Raw genomic sequence first — 23646 nt, forward strand, 5'->3', positions numbered from 1 at the left:
GGTTCTAGGTTCTTGAGGAATTGACACACTGTCTTCCACAATGGTTGAACTAATTGCCACTCCCACCAACAGTGTAAAAGTGTTCCTATTTCTCCACATCCTCTACAGCATCTGTTGTTTCCTGACTTTTTAATGATCATCATTCTAACTTGCATGAGATAGTATCTCATTGTGATTTTGATTTGCATTTCTCTAATGACCAGTGATGATGAGCTTTTTTTCATGTGTTTGCTGGCCGCATAAATGTCTTATTTGAGAAGTATCTGTTCATATCATTTGCCCACTTTATGATGGGGTGGTTTGCTTTTTGTCTTGTAAATTTCTTTAAGTTCTTTGTAGATTCTGGATATTAGCCCTTTGCCAGATGGGTAGATTGCAAAAATTTTTTCCCGTTCTGTAGGTTGCCTGTTCACTCTGATGATAGTTTCCTTTGCTGTGAAGAAGCTCTTTAGTTTAATTAGATCCCATTTGTCAATTTTGACTTTTGTTGCCATTGCTTTTGGTGTTTTAGTCATGAAGCCTTTGCCCATGCCTTTGTCCTGAATGATATTGCCTAGGTTTTCATTTAGGGTTTTTGTTTCTTTTAGGTCTTACATTCAAATCTTCAATCTATCTTGAGTTAATTTTTGTATAAGGTGTAAGGAAGGGGTCCAGTTTCAGTTTTCTGCATATGGTTAGCCAGTTTTCCCAACACCATTTATTAAATAGGGAACCCTTTCCCCATTACTTGTTTTTGGCAAGTTTGTCAGAGAACAGATGGTTGTAGACGTGTGGCATTATATCTGAGGCCTCTGTTCTGTTCTATTGGTCTATATATCTGTTTTGGTACCAGTACCGTGCTGTTTTGTTTACTGTAGCCTTGTAGTATAGTTGAAGTCAGGTAGTGTGATGCCTTCAGCTTTTATTTTTTTGCTTAGGATTGTCTTGGCAATATGGGCTCTTTTTCGCTTCCATATGTAATTTAAAGTAATTTTTTCTAATTCTGTGAAAAAAGGCAATGGTAGCTTGATGAAGATAGCATTGAATCTATAAATTACTTTAGGCAATATGGCCATTTTCATGACATTGATTATTCCTGTCCATGAGTATGGAATGATTTTCCAATTGTTTGTGTCCTCCCTTACTTCCTTGAGCAGTGAGACCTGAGATTTTCCTGAAGTTGCTTGTCAGCTTAAGGAGATTTGGGGCTGAGATGACAGGGTTTTCTAAATATACAATCATGTGATCTGCAAAAGAGACAATCTGACTTCCTCTTTTCCTATTTGAATACCTCTTATTTTTTTCTCTTGCCTGATTGCCCTGGCCGGAACTTTCAATAATATGTTGAATCAGAGTGTAAGAGAGGGCATCCTTGTCTTGTACCAGTTTTCAAAGGGAATGCTTCCAGCTTTTTCCCATTCAGTATGATATGGACTGTAGGTTTGTTATAAATAGTTCTTGTTATTTTGAGATACTTTCCATCAATACCCAGTTTATTGAGAGTTTTTAGCATGAAGAGGTGTTGAATTTTATTGAAGGCCTTTTCTGCATCTATTGAGACAATCATATGGTTTTTGTCCATTGATTCTGTTTATGTGTTGGATTACATTTATTAATTTGTGTACGTTGAACCACCCTTGCATCCTGGGGATGAAGCTGACTTGATCATCGTGGATAAGCTTTTTGATATCCTGCTGGTTTCAGGTTGCCAGTATTTTATTGAGGATTTTTACATCGATGTTCATCAGGGATATTGGCCTGAAGTTTTCTTTTTTGTTGCTGTTGTTGTGTCTCTGCCAGGTTTTGGTATCAGGATGATGCTGGCCTCATAAAATGAGTTAGGGAGGAGTTCCTGTTTTTCTATTGTTTGGAATAGTTTCAGAAGGAATGGTACCAGCTCCTCTTTGTACCTCTGGTAGAATTCGGCTGTGAATCTGTCTTGTCTTGGGTTTTTTTGGTTGGTAGGCTATTAATTACTGCCTCAATTTCAGAACTTGTTATTGGTGTATTCAGGTATTCGACTTCTTACTGGTTTAGTCTTTGGAGTGTGTATGTGTCCAGAAATTTACCCATTTCTTCTAGGTCTTCTAGTTTATTGACATAGAGGTGTTTCTAGTATTCTCTGATGGTAGTTTGTATTTCTGTGGGATCAGAGGTGATATCGATTCTTCTCTCTTTTCTTCTTTATTAGTCTGGCTAGAGGTCTATCTATTTTGATGATCTTTTCAAAAAACCAGCTCCTGGATTCATTGATTTTTTGAAGGGTGTTTTGTGTCTCTATCTCCTTCAATTCTGCTCTGATCTTAGTTATTTCTTGTCTTCTGCTAGCTTTTGGATTTGTTTGCTCTTGCTTCTCTAGTTCTTTTAATTTTGATGTTAGGGTGTCAATTTTAGATCTTTCCTGCTTTCTCCTGTGGACATTTAGTGCTATAAATTTCCCTCCAAACACTGCTTTAGCTGTATCCCAGAGATTCTGGTAAGTTATGTCCTTGTTCTCATTGGTTTCGAAGAACTTATTTATTTCTGCCTTAATTTCGTTATTTACCAGCAGTCATTCAGGAGCAGGTTGTTCAGTTTCCATCTAGTTGTGTGGTTTTTAGTGAGTTTCTTAATCTTGAGTTCTAATTTGACTGCACTGTGGTCTGTCAGGCTGTTTGTCATGATTTCCATTCTTTTTCATTTACTGAGGAGTGTTTTACTTCCAATTATGTCATCAATTTTAGAATAAGTGCAATGTGGTGCTGAGAAGAATGTATATTCTGTTGATATGGCGTGGAGAGTTCTGTAGATGTCTATTAGGTCGGCTTGGTCCAGAGCTGAGTTCAAGTCCTGAATATTCTTACTTTTCTGTCTTGTTTACCTGTCTAATATTGATAGTGGGGTGTTAAAGTCACCTACTATTATTGTGTGGGAGTCTAAGTCTCTTTGTAGGTCTCTAAGAACTTGCTTTATGAATCTGGGTGCCCCTGTATTGGGTGCATATATATTTACGATAGTTACCTCTTCTTGTTGCATTGATCCCTTTACCATTATTTAATGTTCTTGGCCTTTTTTGATGTTTGTTGGTTTAAAGTCTGTTTTATCAGAGACCAGGATTGCAACCCCTGCTTTTTTTTTTTTTTTTTTTCTTTTTGGCTTGGTTAATCTTCTGTCCTTTTATTTTGAGCCTAGGTGTGTCTTTGCATGTGAGATGGGTCTCCTGAATACAGCACAGTGATGGGTCTTGACTCTTTATCCAATTTTCCAGTCTGTGTCTTTTAATTGAGGCATTCAGCCCGTTTACTTTTAAGGTTAATTTTGTTATGTGTGAATTTGATCCTGTCATTATGATGATAGCTGGTTATTTTGCTTGTTAGTTGATGCAGTTTCTTCATAGTGTCAATGGTCTTTACAATTTGGCAGGTTTTTATAGTGGCTGGTACCTTGTTTTTTGTTTGTGTTTTTGTCTTTGTTTTTCCTTGTTTAGTGTTTTCTTCAGGAGCTCTTGTAAGGTAGGCCTGGTGGTGACAAAATCTCTCAACATTTGCTTGTCCATAAAGGATTTTATTTCTCCTTGGCTTATGAAGCTTAGTTTGGCTGGTTATGAAATTCTGGATTGAAAATTCTTTTCTTTAAGAGTGTTAAATATTGGCCTCCACTCTCTTCTGGCTTGTAGGGTTTCTGCAGAGAGATCTGCTGTTAGTCTGATGGCCTTCTTTTTGTGGGTAACCACACCTTTCTCTCTGGCTGCCCTTAACTTTTTTTCCTTCATTTCACCCTTGGTGAATCTGATGATTCTTAAGGCGTAACTTTGTGGTGTTCTCTGTATTTCCTGAATTTGAATGTTGGCCTGTCTTGCTAGGTTGGGGAAGTTCTCCTGGATAATATCCAGGAGAGTGTTTTCCAACTTGGTTCCATTCTTTCAGTCACTTTCAGGTACAGCAATGAAACATAGATTTGGTCTTTTCACACAGTCCCATCTGTCTTGGAGGCTTTGTTTGCTCCTTTTCATTCTTTTTTTTCTAATCTTGTCTTCATGTTTTATTTCATTAAGTTGATCTTCAATCTCTGATATCCTTTCTTTTGCTTGATCGATTTGGCTATTGATACTTGTGTATGCTTCACGAAGTTCTCGTGCTGTGTTTTTCAGCTCCATCAGGTCAGTTATATTCTTCTCTAAACTGGTTATTCTAGTTAGCATTTCCTCTAACCTTGTTTCAAGATTCTTAGCTTTTTTGCATTGAGTTAGAACATGCTCCTTTAGCTCTGAGGAATTTGTTATTACCCACCTTCTGAAGCCTACTTCCTTCAATTCATCAAATTTATTGTCCATCCAGTTTTGTTCCTTTGCTGGTGAGGATTTTGGATCCTTTGTAGGAGAAGAGGCCTTTTGGTTTTTGGAATTTTCAGCCTTTTTGCACTGGTTTTTCCTCATCTTTGTGAATTTATCTGCCTTTGGTCTTTAGTGTTCGTGACCTTCAGATGAAGTTTCTGTGTGGTTGTTTTTTCTGTGGATGTTGATGCTATTCCTTTCTGTTGTTAGTTTTCCTTCTAACAGGCCCCTCTGCTGCAAGTCTGCTGGAGTTTGCTGGAGGTCCACTCTAGACCCTGTTTTCCTGGGTATTACCAGCAGAGGCTGCAGAACACAAAGATTGCTGCCTATTCCTTCCTCTGGAAGCTTTGTCCCAGAGGGGCACCCACCAGAAGGCAGCCAGAGCTCTCCTGTATGAGATGTCCCTGCTGGGAGGTGTGTCCCAGTCAGGAGACATGGGCGTCAGGGACCCACTTGAGGAGGCAGTCTGTCTCTTAGTGGAGGTCAAGTGCTGTGCTGGGAGATCCCCTGCTCTCTTCAGAGCTGGCAGGCAGGAATGTTTAAGTCCACTGAATCTGTGTTCACAGCCACCCCTTCTCCCAGGTGCTCTGTCTCAGGCAGATGGGAGTTTTATCTGTAAGTCCCTGACTGGGGCTGCTGTCTTTCAGAGATGCCCTGCCCAGAGCAGAGGAATCTAGAGAGACAGTATGGCTATGGCAGCTTCACCGAGCTGCAGTAGGCTCCCTATGTGTTCTAATAATGGTGGATACTATCCTTTCACTTCCAGGTTTATGACCTTCTATATATGTACATATATATCAATATATATATACACACACACATATATATAGAATGTGCATGTGTATATAATACATGTATGTGTATATATATGTATATACATATATACATGTGTGTGTATATATACATATATACATATATACGTATGTGTGTGTATATATATGTATATACATATATATGTGTGTGTGTGTATATATATATATATGCAGGATGCAGTCTTGTGTGGGTCTTCAAAATGGTGCCTTGTAGCTGCCTAGGACTCAGGAGGTATTATATTCTCCTGCTGAATTTATTATTTTATTATTGTGTAATACTTTTTGTCTTTTTGCCTTTTTTTTCTTTAAAGTCTGTTATTTAAGTACAGCTACTCCTGCTTGCTTTTGGTTTTCATTTCCATGGAACATTTTATTTCATCCCATTACTTTTACTAGATACGCATTTACATGTGAAGTGAGTTTCTTGTGAGCAGCATATAATTGGGTCATTTAAAAATTCATTCTGCCAGTCAATATCTTTTAAGTGGAGAATTTAACCTGCTTACATTCAAGCTTATTATTGATATGTCAGGACTTGCTTGTGTCATTTTATTAGTTGATTCCTCGTTGTTTTATATATTCTTTGTTTCTTTATTTTTCTCTATTTATCACTGGGGTTTGGTGATTTTCTGTAGTGGTACCATTTCAGTGCTTTCTTTTTATTATTTTTTGTGTTTCCTCTACCAGTGAGTTTTATATGTTTATGCGTTTTCATAATGGTGGCTATTGTCCTTTCACTTCCAGGTGTACGACTTTCTTAAGCATTTCTGGTAGGGGCATTCTAGTGGTGATAAACCCTCTCAGCTTTTGCCTTTCTGGGAAGGACTATTTCTCATCCATTTACGAAAAGTTCCTTTACTGGGTATAGCGTTGTTGGCTGGCAGTTTTTTTTCTTTCACCACTTGGAATATATTATCCAATTCTCTCCTGGCATGTAAGGTTTGCTGAGAATTTTGCTGTTAGTCTCATGAAAGTTCCTTTATATGCGCCTTTATGTGCATTTTTGGGGGTTTTTAGAATTCTCTCTTTGACTTTTTACAGTTTGACTGTAATGTGACTTGGGGAAGAAATTTTAGTTGTGTATATTTTGGAATTTCTGCTTATTATGTATTAGATATCTAAACATTTTGCTAGGCTTAGGAAGTTTACAGCTATTATTTTGTTAAATAGCTGTTCTATTTATTTTGTTTCCCCTTCACCTTCTGGGACATCACAATTTTGAATATTTAGTCACTTTATGGTGTCCCATATGTCCTGTTGACTTTCCTTATTCTTTTTAATTTTTTCCTGTTTTTTTCTGACTGGGTTATTTGAAAAGATCTGTCTTCAAGTTCTGAAATTCTGTTTGATTTAGCCTAGTTTTGAAACTTACAAATATATTTTTATTTCATTCAATGAATTAATTAGTTCCAGATTTTTTTATGATATCTATTTTTTGTAAATTTCTCATTAATATCTTAAATTGTTATTTAAAAATAATATCTGTTTTCTTGTATCTTTTTGAGATTTTTAATACCATTTTCAATTCTTTTTTAAGATTTCATAATTTTTTTTCATTGGATCTGTTGCTGGAAAGTTGTTGCATTCCTTTGGAGATGTTGTCTTTTCTTTGTTATATTTCTTGTGTCCTTATGTTGATATCTGTGTATCTAATGTACAAATAGCTTCTTTCAATTTTTTGAATTTATTTTCACAAAGATGGGTTTTTTTTAAAGATGGATTTATGTTGTTGGTTGGGTAGGGAACTTTGGGTTTGATTCTGGGTGTTTGCAGTAATATAGTCCTTGTATGAGTTATTTGACTGTAAACAGCAGTTATTGCTATGATTTCTTCAGTGGTTTATAGTGCAGTTGCTAATAGAGGCTGTTGTGATGTTTGTGTGTGGATGTGAATGCCAAGTATGCCTGTCTTCAGGCTTCCAATGTGGCAGCAGTGGATTTAGTGTGCCTAGTTTTGGGCCCCAATGACAGCAGGTCTAGGTAGGCTGATTTGTTGGACCCCAAACAGCTTGCTCAGGTACAGGCAGTTTCACCATTTGCCCAAGTGGGTGAGTGAGTCTTTGGGGCCTTGGGTAAAGGGTGTAGCATGAGTGATGGCAGTAATAAGGGCAGAACAACACTCTGGCTCCCAGGTGGTTTCCTCTAGTGTTGGTGGTTTCTGTGATATGCTGTGCACAAAAGTACTCAAGCTTGCAGTTTGTGTGGGTGGGTGCCAGCTGCAGTCGTGGCATGTTGGGTGTTCTTCAGTCTCCTAGGAGGAGTGCTCAGATGTCAAAGGTGATGAATGGGGCAGGGTGATTCCCAGGCCCCCAGATGTTGGCCTCAGGCTCTGCAGGGGCATAGTTGGGCCAGATGGGCCTGCTCTCAGGCCCCTCAGTGGTTCATGTGAGCACCGACTATGGTAGACAGGGGCCTGGATATGTGCAGTATGTGCAGGTTGGTGCAGCAGTAGTTTTGTTGCTTCCCTGATGCTCAGGAGGGTGAGGTTGCTTGCATTGGCAGCAGCACTAGGCATGCAGCTGGGGAGCATATACTTCAGCACCAGGTGATTTTTGCAAGCAGGGTAGCTTGTCTTCATTGCACTTGTACATGTGTGTTGGTCCTGCTACTGGGGGTAGCAGGCTCACTGTTAATGGTTCCTGCTTTAATCCTGTTGGCACTAGCCAGCAGTGGTACCTGGATGTGGGTGGAGGATATCAATTAGGCTCCAAGGATGTGAATATACAAAAACTGTTGAGACCTAAGGCAGGATGCAGTCTGATGGGGACTAGACCTTCCAAATGGTGCCTTGTAACTGCCTAGGACTCAGGAGGTGTTTGGGACACAGAGTGAGCTTCTTCTGTGGAGCAGTGTCACAATGTGTTCTCCAGGCCACTCCCTACATTAGTCTCCAGGCCTACAAGGGCCAAGGGGCTTTACAATGGTTAGGATTGCAGAAGATCATGCTGGGAATTTGGACTGCTGGCAGCCTTTCACTTTCCATTAACTGAAGATCCTTTCCAGGCTCCAAGCCAATTCTGACCAAGCAGACTACCTTGCTTCTCTCTCCTCCCTTGCCTTAAATGTTTTCTGTCTTTTTTCTGTTAAATTTCAGCATTCTGTCTTAGGTGATCTCTTCAAGATGATACTGTCTACTCACTAATTTGGTTTTGTGTGGTAGAAGCTTTAAGGTGGCTGACTAGAGGCATCCAGTACTCACGTCTTCCATTCGTCTTTGTGGAGTACGTGAGTACCAGATGCCTCTAGTCAGCCATCTTAAAGCTTCTTCCCAAAAAAATTTTGAAATCCCCTTGAACTCTTGTAGCCAATAGGTCAGGCCTATTTTTTTACATATCAGATTTTTGTTATTTTTCATTTGAATAGTGTCTAGGAACTCAGAATGGTTTTGGAAGCTTTTAATCTGAGTAATTGGGTCATTTTTACCTGCATGAGAGGCAGTGCCTAGATGGTAGACTAGAGGCAGCTCATGTGTGCTGTTCTCAAAGAAAGGAAACAAAAGGGCTAGTGAGCACTAACTCTGCAGGTTGATCTTCTGAGAAACCAGGTCAGGATCCATCAATGCAGCAGGGGAACACAGAGAGCAGAGGATCAAAGCTGGTCAACAGCCAGCCTGGACTCAGCAGAGAGCCAGGAGAACCTCTCTAATATGAGAAAGAGTGAGTGAGAGCACCTAGGGAGATTCACACTCCAACAGGGACCTGTGCAAGACTAGGAATGGGAGAATCCCCCTTCCCCCGTCCCCCTCCTACACTTCTAAGACTGAGGCAGAAAACTGTTCAGACTTTTTCACAGGCAACTCTCGAGTCCAAGGGGACTTCTACAAGCCTTGGGCCCTAGAAAACACCAGCACTTGCACCATAGCTCCAATAGAGGCCAAAGTGGCAGTATCTGGGAGCAGTAAGATTGCTTTACTTCCCCTTGCTGGAAGAGGCTCAGCACCAGCTTCTAGCCTAGCGGTCCTACTTTGGCTTGAATTCGGCCAGCTATTTCACCCACCTTGCCAATGGTAGCCAAAGTGGAAATGCCTGATATAGCCTTCAGCCTCATGGTCTCCCTTTTGTGTGAACTCAGCTTTAGGGTGAAGCCTCCTGATGTTCTAGGAGACATTCTGACAGCAGGGCACATGACCCCATCCAGCCACACCACTGATAGCCAGAATGTCAATGCTTGCTAGAGCTTCTGGCCTAGTGGTCTTGCTTTTTTGTGAACTCAGCTGGATGGTGCCACTTCCTGTTGTCCTGGAAAATACCCGGATGGCAGAGTGTGTGACCCCACCTGCCCTGCCACTGGAAGCCAGGTGGGCAACACCTGTTAGAGCTTCTGGCCCGACAGCCCACTTCTGTTTGAGCACAGTTAGAGGGTGCAGCTTCCTGTTTTACCAAGCAACACCTGGATGGCAGAGCACATGACCCCACCCGACTCTGCCACTGGAAACCAGGTGAGCAACACTTCCTAGAGCTTCCTGCTCAGTGGCCCTGATTCTGTGTGAACTCAGCTGGAGCACACAGCTTCCTGTTGTTTTGGTGAACAACCAAATTTTGGAGTGTATGATTCCACCCACTCGCACCACTGGCAACCAGGCAAGCAATGCCTGCTATAACTTTTGCCCCAACAGCTTCGTTTCTGTGTAAACTCAGCTAGAGGTCACAGCTTCCTGTTGTCCCAGGAAACACCTGGATTGCAGAATGTGTGACCCCACCCACCCCTGCCAATGGTAGCCAGGCAAGCAATGCATGCTAGAGCTTCCAGCACAGCAGCCCCGCTTCTGCGTGAACTCAGCTGGAGGACACAGCTTCATGTTGTCCCATGAAACATCCAAATGGCAGAGTACATGACCCTGCCTGCCCCCACCACTGATAGCCATGCAGGTAATGCTTGCTAGAGCTTATAGGCCAGCAGCCCTGCTTCTTTCTAAAGTCAGGTGGAAGTCCCAGCTTTGTTATCCTGGGAAACACCTGGTCAGCCATGCACATGACACTCCACCCACCCTGACCACTATTAATGAAGCAGGTAACACCTATTAGAGTTTCTAGCCCAGCAGCCTCACTTCTGTCTGAACTATGCTGGCATGCACAGCCTCCTGTTGTCCCAGGAACCACTCAGATGGCAGGAGAGGTGACCCCACCCACCCATGCCACTGACAGCCAAGTGGGCAATGCCTATTAGAACTTCTGGCTCAGCTGTCCTGCATCTGTGGGAACTCAGCTGGAGTGTGCAGCCACCTGTTGTCCTGAGAAACACCTGGATGGCAGGGTGCATGACCCCACTGATCTAATCCCTGCCACTGAGAGCCAGGAATGCAATGCCCACTAGAGCTTCTGACCCAGTGGCCCTGCTATTGTGTGAGCTCGGTTAGAGGGTGCAGCTTCCTGTTGTCCTGAGAAACACCCACCCTGCTGTCCCCCACTACTAGTAGCCAGGTGGGATATGTGTATTAGAGCTTCTGGCCCAGTAAGCCCGCTTCTGTGGAAACTCAGCCGATGGGCACAGCCTCCTTTTGTCCCAGGAGGTACCCAGACAGTAGGGATGGCATCCCCACCCACCCCCACTGCTGGTAGCCAGGTGAGTCATGCCTGATCGAGCTTCTGGCCCAGCAGTTCTACTTCTGCCTGAATTTGCTAAGGGGTGCAGCCCCCTATTGCCCTGGAAACACCCAGATGCCAGAGCAGTCAACTCCACCCACCCCCATCTCCTGTAGCCAGATGTGCCACATCCCCTAGAGCTTCCAGCCCAGCAGTCATGCCCGGCTTCCTGCCCAGCAGTCTTGCCCGGCTTCCTGCCCAGCGGTCTTGCCCAGCTTCCTGCCCAGCGGTCCTGCCCAGCAGTCCTGCTTCAGTGTGACGATTCCTCAAGGATCTAGAACCAGAAATACCATTTGACTGAGCAATCCCATTGCTGGGTATATACCCAAAGGATTATCAATCATTCTCCTATAAAGACACATGCACACATATGTTTATTGCAGCACTATTCACAATAGCAAAGACTTGGAGCCAACCCAAATGCCCATCAAAGATAGACTGGATAAAGAAAATGTGGCACATATACACCATGGAATACTATGCAGCCATAAAAAAGAATAAGTTCATGTTGTTTGCAGGGACATGGATGAAGCTGGAAGCCATCATTCTCAGCAAACTAACACAGGAACAGAAAACCAAACACAGCATGTTCTCACTCATTAGTGGGAGTTGAAAAAGAACACATGGACACAGGGAGGCAAACATTACACACTGGGGCCTGTCGGGGTGTTAGAGGGAAGGGAAGGGAGAGCATTTGGACAAATACCTAATGCATGTGGGGCTTAAAACCTAGATGATGGGTTGATAGGTGTAGCAAACCACCATGGCACATGTGTACCTATGTAACAAACCTGCACGTTCTGCACAGGTGTCCCAAATCTTAAAGTAAATTTTCTTAAAAAAAGAAAAAGAGAGAGAGAGAGTGTGGTACATATAAACCATGAAATACTATTCAGCCATCAAAAGGAAAGAGATCATATCCTTTGCAGGGCCATGGATGAAGCTGGAAGCCATCATCCTCAGCAAACTAACACAGGAACAGGAACCCAAACACTACATGTTCTCACTCATAGGTAGGAGTTGAACAATGAGAACACATGGACCCAGGGAGGGGAATAACACACACCATGGCCTGTTGAGTGGGGGCAAGGGGAAGAAACTTTGAGGACAGGTCAATAGGTGCAGCAAACCACCATTGCTCATGTTTACCTATGTAACAAACCAGCACGTTCTGCACATGTATCTTGGAACTATAAGTAAAATAATAAAAAAAGAACATGTGGTGGTTTTTAAATATCTGAATGTATCTAACTAAATACATTGGCTAAGTAAATATAAGGTAGTCACATGTAAGCCTGATGCTCATGTAAGAAACAGTATCCTATTATGGCACAGACTGTATTGGGAATATATGCATCATTTACTCTAATAGGAGACAGCTAATTTTATGTTCCTCTAGTATACAAACATCCTGTGAAGAGTGAAATAGTTTTTCAAAGCAGGCTGAAGTGCCACTGAAGAGAACAGACTGAGTATAATAGATAACCTAGATATTAGTGTCTTTCATATTGGCCATGGGATTGGCCAATAGCTCATAGGATTGTAATAACCTCAGCAGAAGCATTTTGATGTCATAAAGTCAAGGTCTAATTTTTCAAGACTGAATTTGAGATATGAAGGAAACTTAATTACCAGAAGGTAATTAAAGGTAATCTACCATTTGAAGTATTAAAAGACAAAAAAACTATTAAATTTTTATCAGCGTAATGAGGTAGAAGATTCAGCAATCAGCTAAGTTCAGAGTAGTTGCTATGGAGTGGGAAAAATGAGCTCTTTTATTTTCTTTAAGTGGCATAAGAAGATCACAGGGGTTCAAAATAATAGAAGGAATATAAAATAAATTATATTAGTGTTCTAGGAGGTATCAAAATGTAATTATAGACAAAACTATCAGTAAAGCAAAGAGACAAAAAAGGATGTTGAAGAATGAGAAAATTAATTTTGTTCATTGTCTTCGATAGAAGCTTTTCACTTCTGAAGTCAGCAGCTTGTGCAGGATTTTTAATAATCCTCAGTTTAAATTATTTTAGTGGAATAAAGTCTAGTAGTCATTTAAGTGAAGAAACATGAATCCCAGGATCAACACTAGAGTTTTACTGATATGTAAATGAATAAAACAGTACCTAATTTGGTCACTTCAATTGAAGCCCAACAACAGTTTTTCTTTGATGCCTTTTTCAGAAGACCAAATCTCCAGGATTGTGAATCAATCAGAGAATGTTTAGGTAAGAGTTTTGAAAATGTTCCTTGTGTTTGTTGTAAATAAAGCTGGAGATATCATTTGAGTAGTATGTATTATTCTGTCATTAGCCTGTAATAGACTAGAATACAGGATTGGAAGTGAAATTTCTCATGACACTGCATGAGACAGCCTGTTAATAACTCATAAGGAGATAACTTGTGGGTCCTTAAGAGGTATGAAGTTACTTTTAGCAGATAAGAATGACTTTTTGTGCCTTGGAAGTTTGAGGGTTACTACAGTTTTGGACAGTTACATTATTACAATTTCACTAATTCTCTTTATTCTTCCTGAAGTTTCTGGGTGAAAAGGACAGTCGAGATTTTGAGTTAAATGTAAGCTGCAAAGAGCTCTTTAATGTTAAATAACAGTACCAGAGAAATGTACCTCCTTGCTAGTGGAGTGATAAGTATGAATTTTCCAATTTGGAAATACAAATAATCAAGAACTTTTGATTAAATTTAAAAATCATTACATTTTTAGTTTAGCAGCAAGAAAAAGCCTCAACCAGCTCCAAGAATAAACAACAATAACTATAATGTACTTATTTTCCATTTGGAAGTATTCAAATGGTACCTGAGGATCTGTTACCAGTCAATAGTCTATATTTGCAGTCTTACTAGTATTGTGTTATTGGCAGGTAGATTAGCTCTTCAAATCATCCTTGGCAGTATCTCTTAAAATTCCCCCGCTAATATTAGTTTAATGTTGTGGCCATTATATCTCTACTATCTTGGGCGATATATTTACGCTTTTATCTTTTGTCAGCTGATAAATCCATGTGAAAGCAACTAATACAGACTTCTAAATTGACTTTATTACCACAAGAAGCTTAATTTTTGTAAAACATTCATTCTGTAAAAAATTTATTCTGGTGAAATATATATAACAAAATTTTGGCATTTTAACCATTTTAAATGTACAATTCAGTAGCATTGATTACATTTATGTTGTACAATCATCACTACTATCTATTTCCAAATGCTTTTAATCATCCCAAGCAAAATCTGTCGCTCTTAGGCAATAACTTTAACTCTCCCTTCCTGCAGTTTCTGGTAAACTCTAATCTACTTTCTGATTCTATGAATTTGCCAATTCTAGATATTTTATATAAGGGGAATCATACAATATTTTTACATTTGCATCTGGCTTATTTCGCTTAGCATTTTTTTTTTTTTTTTTGAGACGGAGTCTCACTCTGTCGCCCAGGCTGGAGTGCAGTGGCGCGATTTCGGCTCACTGCAACCTCCGCCTCCCGGGTTCACGCCATTCTCCTGCCTCAGCCTCCCGAGTAGCTGGGACTACAGGCGCCCGCCACCACGCCCAGCTAATTTTTTGGTATTTTTAGTAGAGTCAGGGTTTCACCGTGTTAGCCAGGATGGTCTTGATCTCCTGACCTCGTGATCCGACCGCCTCAGCCTCCCAAAGTGCTGGGATTACAGGCGTGAGCCACTGCGCCCGGCCAGCATTATGTTTTTAAGATTCATCCATATTGTAGTATGTATCATAAATTCATATTTTATGGCTGAATAATATTCCATTTTATGTATATAACACATTTTGTTTATCCATTTTTCTGCTGACAGATTTGCGTTGTTTCCTCCTATTGCTCATTGTGAGTAATGCTGCAGTGAACATTGGTGTACAAGTATGAGTCCCAGTATTCAATTATTGTGGTTGTATGCCTGGAGTGCAATTGCTGAGTCACATGATAATTTTATGTATTCCCTTTTGAGGTACTACTATATTATTTTCCACAGTGGCTGCACCATTTTATATTAACACATATATAGACAAGGGCTCCAATTTATCTGTATCCTTACCAACACTTATTTTCCATGTTTTTTGATTAAACCTAAGTTGGTGAGTGTGAAGTAGTATCTCATTGTGATTTTGATTTGCATTTCCATGATGACTAATGATGGCTTTTTTTTTTTTTTTGGAAAGAGTTTCACTCTTCTCGCCCAGTCTTGAGTGCAATGGCACGATGTCAGCTCACTGCAACTTCAGTCTCTCCAGTTCATGCGATTCTCCAGCCTCAGCCTCCCAAGTTGCTGGGACTATAGGCGTGCGCCACTATGCCCAGCTAATATTTTGTATTTTTAGTAGAGACGGGGGTTTCACCATGTTGGCCAGGCTGGTCTCGAACTCTTGACCTCAGGTGGTTTGCCCACCTTGGCCTCCCAAAGTGCTGGAATTACAGGAGTGAGCCAACGCGCCTGGCAGTGATGTTTAACATTTGTTCATGAACTTTTTGGCCATTTTTATTTCTTCTTTGGAAAAAAATCTTCTCAAGATTTTGGCCTATTATTGGTCTGTCTTTTTGTTATTAAATTGTAGGTATTATTTACGTATTCTGAATATTACAGCCTTATCAGATATGTGATTTGAAAGTACCCTCTTTTTTGTAGATTGTCTTCTCCTTTTTTGATAATGTACTTTCATGCACAGAAGCTTCTAATTTTCATGAAGTCCCACTTTTATATTTTTTTCCTTTTTTTGCCTTTTGTCACCTTTTGGTGTCATATCGAAAAATACATTGCCAAATCCAAGGTCATGAAATTTTACCTCTATGTGATCTTCTAAGAGTTTTATGTTTTAGATTATATATTTAGGTGATTGATTTCTTTTAATTAATTTTTGTATGTTTTCAGATGGTGATCTGACATCATTTTTTAATATGGAAGTCCAGTTTTCTTAGTACCATTTATTGAAAAGATTATCTTTTTACTATTGAATACCCTTGGAACCCATGTCAAAATTAGTTTATCTATATATGTTAAGGGTTTATATCTCAAATATAAATTCTAATTCAGTGGTCTATATATTTATTTCTATACCAGTAACACACTCTTTAGATAATTGGACCTTTTTAGTAAGTTTTGAAATTGGGAAATATGAATCTTCCAACTTTGTTCTTTTTCATGATTATTCAGGCTATGTAAGGCCACTTTCAATTCCATATGAACTTGAGGGTTAGCTTATCCATTTCTGCAAAACAGTTGGAATTTTAATAAACATCACATTGAATCTGTAGATTGTTTTGGGTAGCATTGACATTTCAATGACTTACATTTTCCAATCTATGAATGCAAGAAGTATTTCTATATTTTAGGTATTCTTTATTTTTATAATTTTTAATTTTTATGGGTATTTAGTAGGTGTATATATATATGGAGTACATGATGTGTTTTGATAGAGGTATGCAATGTATAATAATCACATCATGGAAAATAGAGTATCCATCCCCACGAGCATTTATATTTAGGTCTTCTTTAATTTTTTCAACAATTTTGTTTTCCCTTTCTAATTTTCAGAGTGTAAGTCTTTCATTTCTTTTGTTAAATGTATTACTATATATTTCATTCTTTTTGATGCTATTGTAAAAGGAATTATTTTATTAATTTTAATAATTTTCTTATATAATCTTAAATTTACAAATTATTCATTGTGATTGTATAGGGATACAACCTATTTTGCATGTCAAACTTGTACTTTGTAACTTTTCTGAATGCATTTATTAGGTAGAGTAGCTTTTTAAATTTTTTTTATTTTTAATTTTTCTGAGTACATAGTAGGTGTATGTATTTATATGGCACATGAGATGTTTTGATACAGGCATATAATGTGTAATAATCGCATCATGGAACATGAGATACTCATCCACTCAAGAATTTATGCTTTGTGTTACAAACAATCCAATTACACTCTTTTAGTTATTTTAAAATATACAATGTAATTATTGACTGTACCCACTCCATTGTGCTATCAATTAGTAAGTCTTATTTATTCTTTCTATTTGTTGATACCCATTAACCATCCTCACCTTCTTCCACCAACCCCACCTACCCTTCCCAGCCTCTGGTAACCGTCCTTATACTCTCTGACTCCATGAGTTAAATTCTGTTAATTTTTAGATCTCACAAATAAGTGAGAACATGTGATGTTTTTCTTTCTGTGCCTGGCTTATTTACTTAACATAATGATCTCCAGTTCCACCCAGTTGTTGCAAATGACAATGTCTCATTATTTTTATGGCTGAATAGTACTCCATTGTGTATATATGCCACATTTCCTAAAAACCATTCATCTGTTGATGGACGCTTACATTGTTTCCAAAATTTTTTTTATTATACTCCCCCCACACCAGAACAGTCCCCAGAGTGTGATGTTCCCCTTCCTATGTCCATGTGTTCTCATTGTGCAATTCCCACCTATAAGTGAGAATATGCAGTGTTTGGTTTTTTGTTCTTGCGATAGTTTATTGAGAGTGATGATTTCCAATTTCATCCATGTCCCTACAAAGGACATGAACTCATAATTTTTTTTTATTATACTTGAAGTTTTACGGTACATGTGTACAATGTGCAGGTTAGTTACATATGTATACATGTGTGATTCTGGTGCACTGCACCCACTAACTCGTCATCTAACATTAGGTATATCTCCCAATGCTATCCCTCCGCCCTCCCCCCACCCCACAACAGTCCCCAGAGTGTGATGTTCCCCTTCCTGTGTCCATATGTTCTCATTGTTCAAGTCCCACCTATGAGTGAGAATATGCGGTGTTTGATTTTTTGTTCTTGCAGCAGTTTACTGAGAATGATGATTTCCAATTTCATCCATGTCCCTACAAAGGACATGAACTCATCATTTTTTATGACTGCATAGTATTCCATGGTGTATATGTGCCACATTTTCTTAATCCAGTCTATCATTGTTGGACATTTGGGTTGGTTCCAAGTCTTTGCTATTGTGAATAGTGCTTCAATAAACATACGTGTGCATGTGTCTTTATAGCAGCATGACTTATAGTCCTTCGGGTATATACCCAGTAATGGGATGGCTGGGTCAAATGGTATTTCCAGTTCTAGATCCCTGAGGAATCGCCACACTGACTTCCACAATGGTTGAACTAGTTCACAGTCCCACCAACAGTGTAAAAGTGTTCCTATTTCTCCACATCCTCTCCAGCACATGTTGTTTCCTGATTTTTTAATAATCACCATTCTAACTGATGTGAGATGATATCTCACTGTGGTTTTGATTTGCATTTCTCTGATGGCCAGTGATGGTGAGCATTTTTTCATGTGTTTTTTGGCTGCATAAATGTCTTCTTTTGAGAAGTGTCTGTTCATGTCCTTTGCCCACTTTTTGACGGGGTTGTTTGTTTTTTTCTTGTAAATTTGTTTGAGTTCATTGTAGATTCTGGATATTAGCCCTTTGTCAGATGAGTAGGTTACAAAAATTTTCTCCCATTTTGTAGGTTGCCTGTTCACTCTGATGGAAGTTTCTTTGGCTGTGCAGAAGCTATTTAATTTAATTAGATCCCATTTGTCAATTATGGCTTTTGTTGCCATTGCTTTTGGTGTTTTAGACATGAAGTCCTTGCCCATGCCTATGTCCTGTATGGTAATGCCTAGGTTTTCTTCTAGGATATTTCTGGTTTTAAGTATAACGTTTAAGTCTTTAATCCATCTTGAATTAATTTTTGTACAAGGTGTAAGGAAGGGATCCAGTTTCAGCTTTCTACATATGGCTAGCCGGTTTTCCCAGCACCATTTATTAAATAGGGAATCCTTTCCCCATTTCTTGTTTTTCTCACGTTTGTCAAAGATCAGATAGTTGTAGACATGCAGCATTGTTTCTGAGGGCTCTATTCTGTTCCATTGATCTATATCTCTGTTTTGGTACCAGTACCATGCTGATTTGGTTACTGTAGCCTTGTAGTATAGTTTGAAGTCAGGTAGCGTGATGCCTCCACCTTTATTCTGTTGGCTTAGGATTGACTTGCCGATGCAGGCTCTTTTTTGGTTCCATATGAACGTTAAAGTAGTTTTTTCCAATTCTGTGAAGAAAGTCATTGGTAGCTTGATGGGGATGGCATTGAATCTATAAATTACCTTGGGCAGTGTGGCCATTTTCATGATACTGATTCTTCCTACCCATGAACATGGAATGTTCTTCCATTTGTTTGTATCCTCTTTTATTTCATTGAGCAGTGGTTTGTAGTTCTCCTTGTAGAGGTCCTTCACGTCCCTTGTAAGTTGAATTCCTAGGTATTTTATTCTCTTTGAAGAAATTGTGAATGGGAGTTCACTCATGATTTGGCCTCTGTTTGTCTGTTATTGGTGTATAAGAATGCTTGTGATTTTTCTACATTGCTTTCGTATCCTGAGACTTTGCTGAAGTTGCTTATCAGCTTAAGGGGATTTTGGGTTGAGACAATGGGGTTTTCCAGATATTAAATCATGTCATCTGCAAACATGGACTGTTTGACTTCCTCTTTTCCTAATGGAATTCCCTTTATTTCCTTCTCCTGCCTAATTGCCCTGGCCAGACCTTCCAACAGTACGTTGAATAGGAGTGGTGAGAGAGGGCATCCCTGTCTTGTGCCAGTTTTCAAAGGGAATGCTTCCAGTTTTTGCCCATTCAATATGATATTGGCTGTGGGTTTGTCATAGATAGCTCTTATTATTTTGAGATACATCCCATCAATACTTAATTTATTGAGAGTTTTTAGCATGAAGTGCTGCTGAATTTTGTCAAAGGCCCTTTCTGCATCTATTGAGATAATCATGTGGTTTTTGTCTCTGGTTCTGTTTATATGCTGGATTACATTTATTGATTTGCATATATTGAACCAGCCTTGCATCCCAGGGATGAATCCCACTTGATCATGGTGGATAAGCTTTTTGATGTGCTGCTGGATTCGTTTTGCCAGTATTTTATTGAGGATTTTTGCATCAATGTTCATCAAGGATATTGGTGTAAAATTCTCTTTTTTGGTTGTGTCTCTGCCAGGCTTTGGTATCAGGATGATGCTAGCCTCATAAAATGAGTTAGGGAGGATTCCCTCTTTTTCTATTGACTGGAATGATTTCAGAAGGAATGGTACCAGTTCCTCCTTGTACCTCTGGTAGAATTCGGCTGTGAATCCATCTGGTCCTGGACTCTTTTTTGTTGGTAAGCTATTGATTATTGCCTCAGTTTCAGAGCCTGTTATTGGTCTATTCAGAGATTCAACTTCTTCCTGGTTTAGTCTTGGGAGAGTGTATGTGTCCAGGAATTTATCCATTTCTTCTAGATTTTCTAGTTTATTTGCGTAGAGGTGTTTGTAGTATTCTCTGATGGTAGTTTGTATTTCTGTGGGATCGATGGTGATATCCCCTTTATCATTTTTTATCACGTCTACTTGATTCTTCTCTCTTTTCTTCTTTATTAGTCTTGCTAGCGGTCTATCAATTTTGTTGATCCTTTCAAAAAACCAGCTCCTGGACTCATTAATTTTTTGAAGGGTTTTTTGTGTCTCTATTTCCTTCAGTTCTGCTCTGATTTTAGTTATTTCTTGCCTTCTGCTAGCTTTTGAATGTGTTTGCTCTTGCTTGTCTAGTCGTTTTAATTGGGATGTTAGGGTGTCAATTTTGGATCTTCCCTGCTTCTCTTGTGGGCATTTAGTGCTATAAATTTCCCTCTACACACTGCTTTGAATGCATCCCAGAGATTCTGGTATGTTGTGTCTTTGTTCTCGTTGGTTTCAAAGAACATCTTTATTTCTGCCTTCATTTCGTTATGTACCCAGTAGTCATTCAGGAGCAGGTTGTTCAGTTCCCATGTAGTTGAGTGGTTTTGCGTGAGATTCTTAATCCTGAGTTCTAGTTTGATTGCATTGTGTTCTGAGAGATAGTTTGTTATAATTTCTGTTCTTTTACATTTGCTGAGGAGAGCTTTACTTCCCAGTATGTGGTCAATTTTGGAATAGGTGTGGTGTGGTGCTGAAAAAAATGTATATTCTGTTGATTTGTGGTGGAGAGTTCTGTAGATGTCTATTAGGTCCACTTGGTGCAGAGCTGAGTTCAATTCCTGGGTATGGGTATCCTTGTTGACTTTCTGTCTTGTTGATCTGTCTAATGTTGACAGTGAGGTGTTAAAGTCTCCCATTATTAATGTGTGGGAGTCTAAGTCTCTTTGTAGGTCACTCAGGACTTGCTTTATGAATCTCGGTGCTCCTGTATTGGATGCATATATATTTAGGATAGTTAGCTGTTCTTGTTGAATTGATCTCTTTACCATTATGTGATGGCCTTCTTTGTCTCTTTTGATCTTTGTTGGTTTAAAGTCTGTTTTATCAGAGACTAGGATTGCAACCCCTGCCTTTTTTTGTTTTCCATTTGCTTGGTAGATCTTCCTCCATCCTTCTATTTTGAGCCTATGTGTGTCTCTGCATGTGAGATGGGTTTCCTGAATACAGCACCCTGATGGGTCTTGACTCTTTATCCAATTTGCCAGTCTGTGTCTTTTAATTGGAGCATTTAGTCCATTTCCATTTAAAGTTAATATTGTTATGTGTGAATTTGATCCTGTCATTATGATGTTAGTTGGTTATTTTGCTCGTTAGTTGATGCAGTTTCTTCCTAGTCTCGATGGTCTTTACATTTTGGCATGATTTTGCAGTGGCTGGTACCGGTTGTTCCTTTCCATGTTTAGTGCTTCCTTCAGGAGCTCTTGCAAGGCAGACCTGGTGGTGACAAAATCTCTCAGCATTTGCTTGTCTGTAAAGGATTTTATTTCTCCTTCACTTTTGAAGCTTAGTTTGGCTGGATATGAAATTCTGGGTTGAAAATTCTTTTCTTTAAGAATGTTGAATATTGGCCCCCATTCTCTTCTGGCTTCTAGGGTTTCTGCAGAGAGATCCACTGTTAGTCTGATGGGCTTCCCTTTGAGGGTAACCCGACCTTTCTCTCTGGCTGCCCTTAACATTTTTTCCTTCATTTCAACTTCGGTGAATCTGACAATTATGTGTCTTGGAGTTGCTGTTCTCGAGGAGTATCTTTGTGGCATTCTCTGTATTTCCTGAATCTGAGTGTTGGCCTGCCTTGCTAGATTGGGGAAATTCTCCTGGATAATATCCTGCAGAGTGTTTTCCAACTTGGTTCCATTCTCCCCATCACTTTCAGGTATGCCAGTCAGACGTAGATTTGGTCTTTTCACATAGTCCCATATTTCTTGGAGGCTTAGCTCATTTATTTTTATTCTTTTTTCTCTAAACTTCCCTTCTCGCTTCATTTCATTCATTTCATCTTCCATCACTGATACCCTTTCTTCCAGTTGATTGCATCGGCTCCTGAGGCTTCTGCATTCTTCACGTAGTTCTCGAGCCTTGGTTTTCAGCTCCATCAGCTCCTTTAAGCACTTCTCTGTATTGGTTATTCTAGTTATACATTCTTCTAAATTTTTTTCAAAGTTTTCATCTTCTTTGCCTTTGGTTTGAATGTCCTCCCTTAGCTCAGAGTAATTTGATCGTCTGAAGCCTTCTCTCAGCTTGTCAAAGTCATTCTCCATCCATCTTTGTTCTGTTGCTTGTGAGGAACTGCGTTCCTTTGGAGGAGGAGAGGCGCTCTGCTTTTTGGAGTTTCCAGTTTTTCTGTTCTGTTTTTTCCCCATCTTTGTGGTTTTATCTACTTTTGGTCTTTGATGATGGTGATGTACAGATGGGTTTTTGGTGTGGATGTCCTTTCTGTTTGATTTGATTTATGTATATGGCAAATTAGTAGCTTTTATGTGGATCTCTTGCGATGTTTATATAAAGGATCATGTATTCTACAAAGTAGTTTCCGTGTTTCATTTCCAATTGTAATGCCTTTTATTTCTTAATTTTGCCTAATTGCTCCAGCTAAAACTTTCAGTACACTTTTCAATAGCAGTGGTGAAAGTGGGCAACCCTATTTTGTTCCTGATTTTATTGGGAAACTTTTGTCTTTCACTTTTGTGTATGATTTAGCTATGAATTTTTTACAAATGCCTTCTATTATGTGGAGAAAGTTCTGTTCTACTCCAGGTTTCTGGGTAGTTTTTTGTTATGAAAGTATGTTAGATTTTGTCAGATGTTTTCAATGCACTAATTTTTCCTGATTCTATTAATGTGATGTATTACATTGATTGAAATTCTTATGTGGAAACACCCTTGTGTTCCTCAGATAAGTCTCACTTCTTTGTTGTTGTATAATTCTTTTAATATGCTGTTGAATTCAATTTACTAGTATGATACTGAGGATTTTTGCATCAACATTCATAGTGGATATTTATCAATAGTTTTTGTGGTATATTAATCTTATTTTGATTTGAGGGTAAGTCTGGCCTCATAGGATAAATCAGGATTTTTTTCCCTCCTCTTCAATGTTTTGAAACAGTTTGAGATGGATTAGTGTTGATTCTCTTTAAATGTTTACTAGAATTCAGTGGTAAAGCCATTTGGTCCTAGACTGTTCTCTGTTTAGAAGTTTTAAATTACTAATTCAAGCTCCTTACTGGTTATAGATGTATGCAGATTTTGCCATTTCGTCGTGATCTAGTCTTGACAGGTTGTGCATTTCTATGAATTTTAAAATTTTATTTACCTTAACCACTTCGTTGGTGTACAATTGTTTGTATTATCCACTTATAAATAACTCTTTTTGTTTCTGTAAAATTGCTAATTATATCTCATGATTCATTTGTGATGTCAGTTACTTGTGTCTTCTCTTTTTTTTTAGTCAATCTGACTAAAGGTTTGTCAATTTTGTTGACATTCTTGAAGAATCAACTATTGGTTTTGTTTACTTTCTGCCTCATTTTTCTTTTCTCTATTTTATTTGTCTCTTCTATAATCTTTATTGTTTCTTTGCTTCTGCTAGATTTGGATTTAGTCTTTTTTTTTTTTCTAATGCCTTAACCTATAAAGTTC

General features: G+C 39.1%; 1 protein-coding gene and 1 long non-coding RNA gene across 3 annotated transcripts in view, besides 1 other annotated feature; both read left to right on the forward strand.

Moving 5' to 3' along the window:
- Positions 1–23646, forward strand: part of KLF8 (KLF transcription factor 8) — a 383409-nt gene that overhangs the window by 150777 nt on the left and 208986 nt on the right. The gene's annotated exons all lie outside the window — the stretch shown is intronic.
- LOC124900486 (uncharacterized) overlaps positions 1–23646 on the forward strand; it is a 150609-nt gene that overhangs the window by 4415 nt on the left and 122548 nt on the right. The window lies entirely within an intron of this gene.
- Positions 7365–7624: an enhancer, noted in NCBI's record as "active region_29686". NCBI's record gives its function as "activates an Ori minimal core promoter by ATAC-STARR-seq in GM12878 lymphoblastoid cells {active_cell/tissue: GM12878}" and the evidence as "EXISTENCE:reporter gene assay evidence [ECO:0000049][PMID:35858748]".

Source organism: Homo sapiens, chromosome X, assembly GCF_000001405.40.
Source record: "Homo sapiens chromosome X, GRCh38.p14 Primary Assembly".
Taxonomy (NCBI): domain Eukaryota; kingdom Metazoa; phylum Chordata; class Mammalia; order Primates; family Hominidae; genus Homo; species Homo sapiens.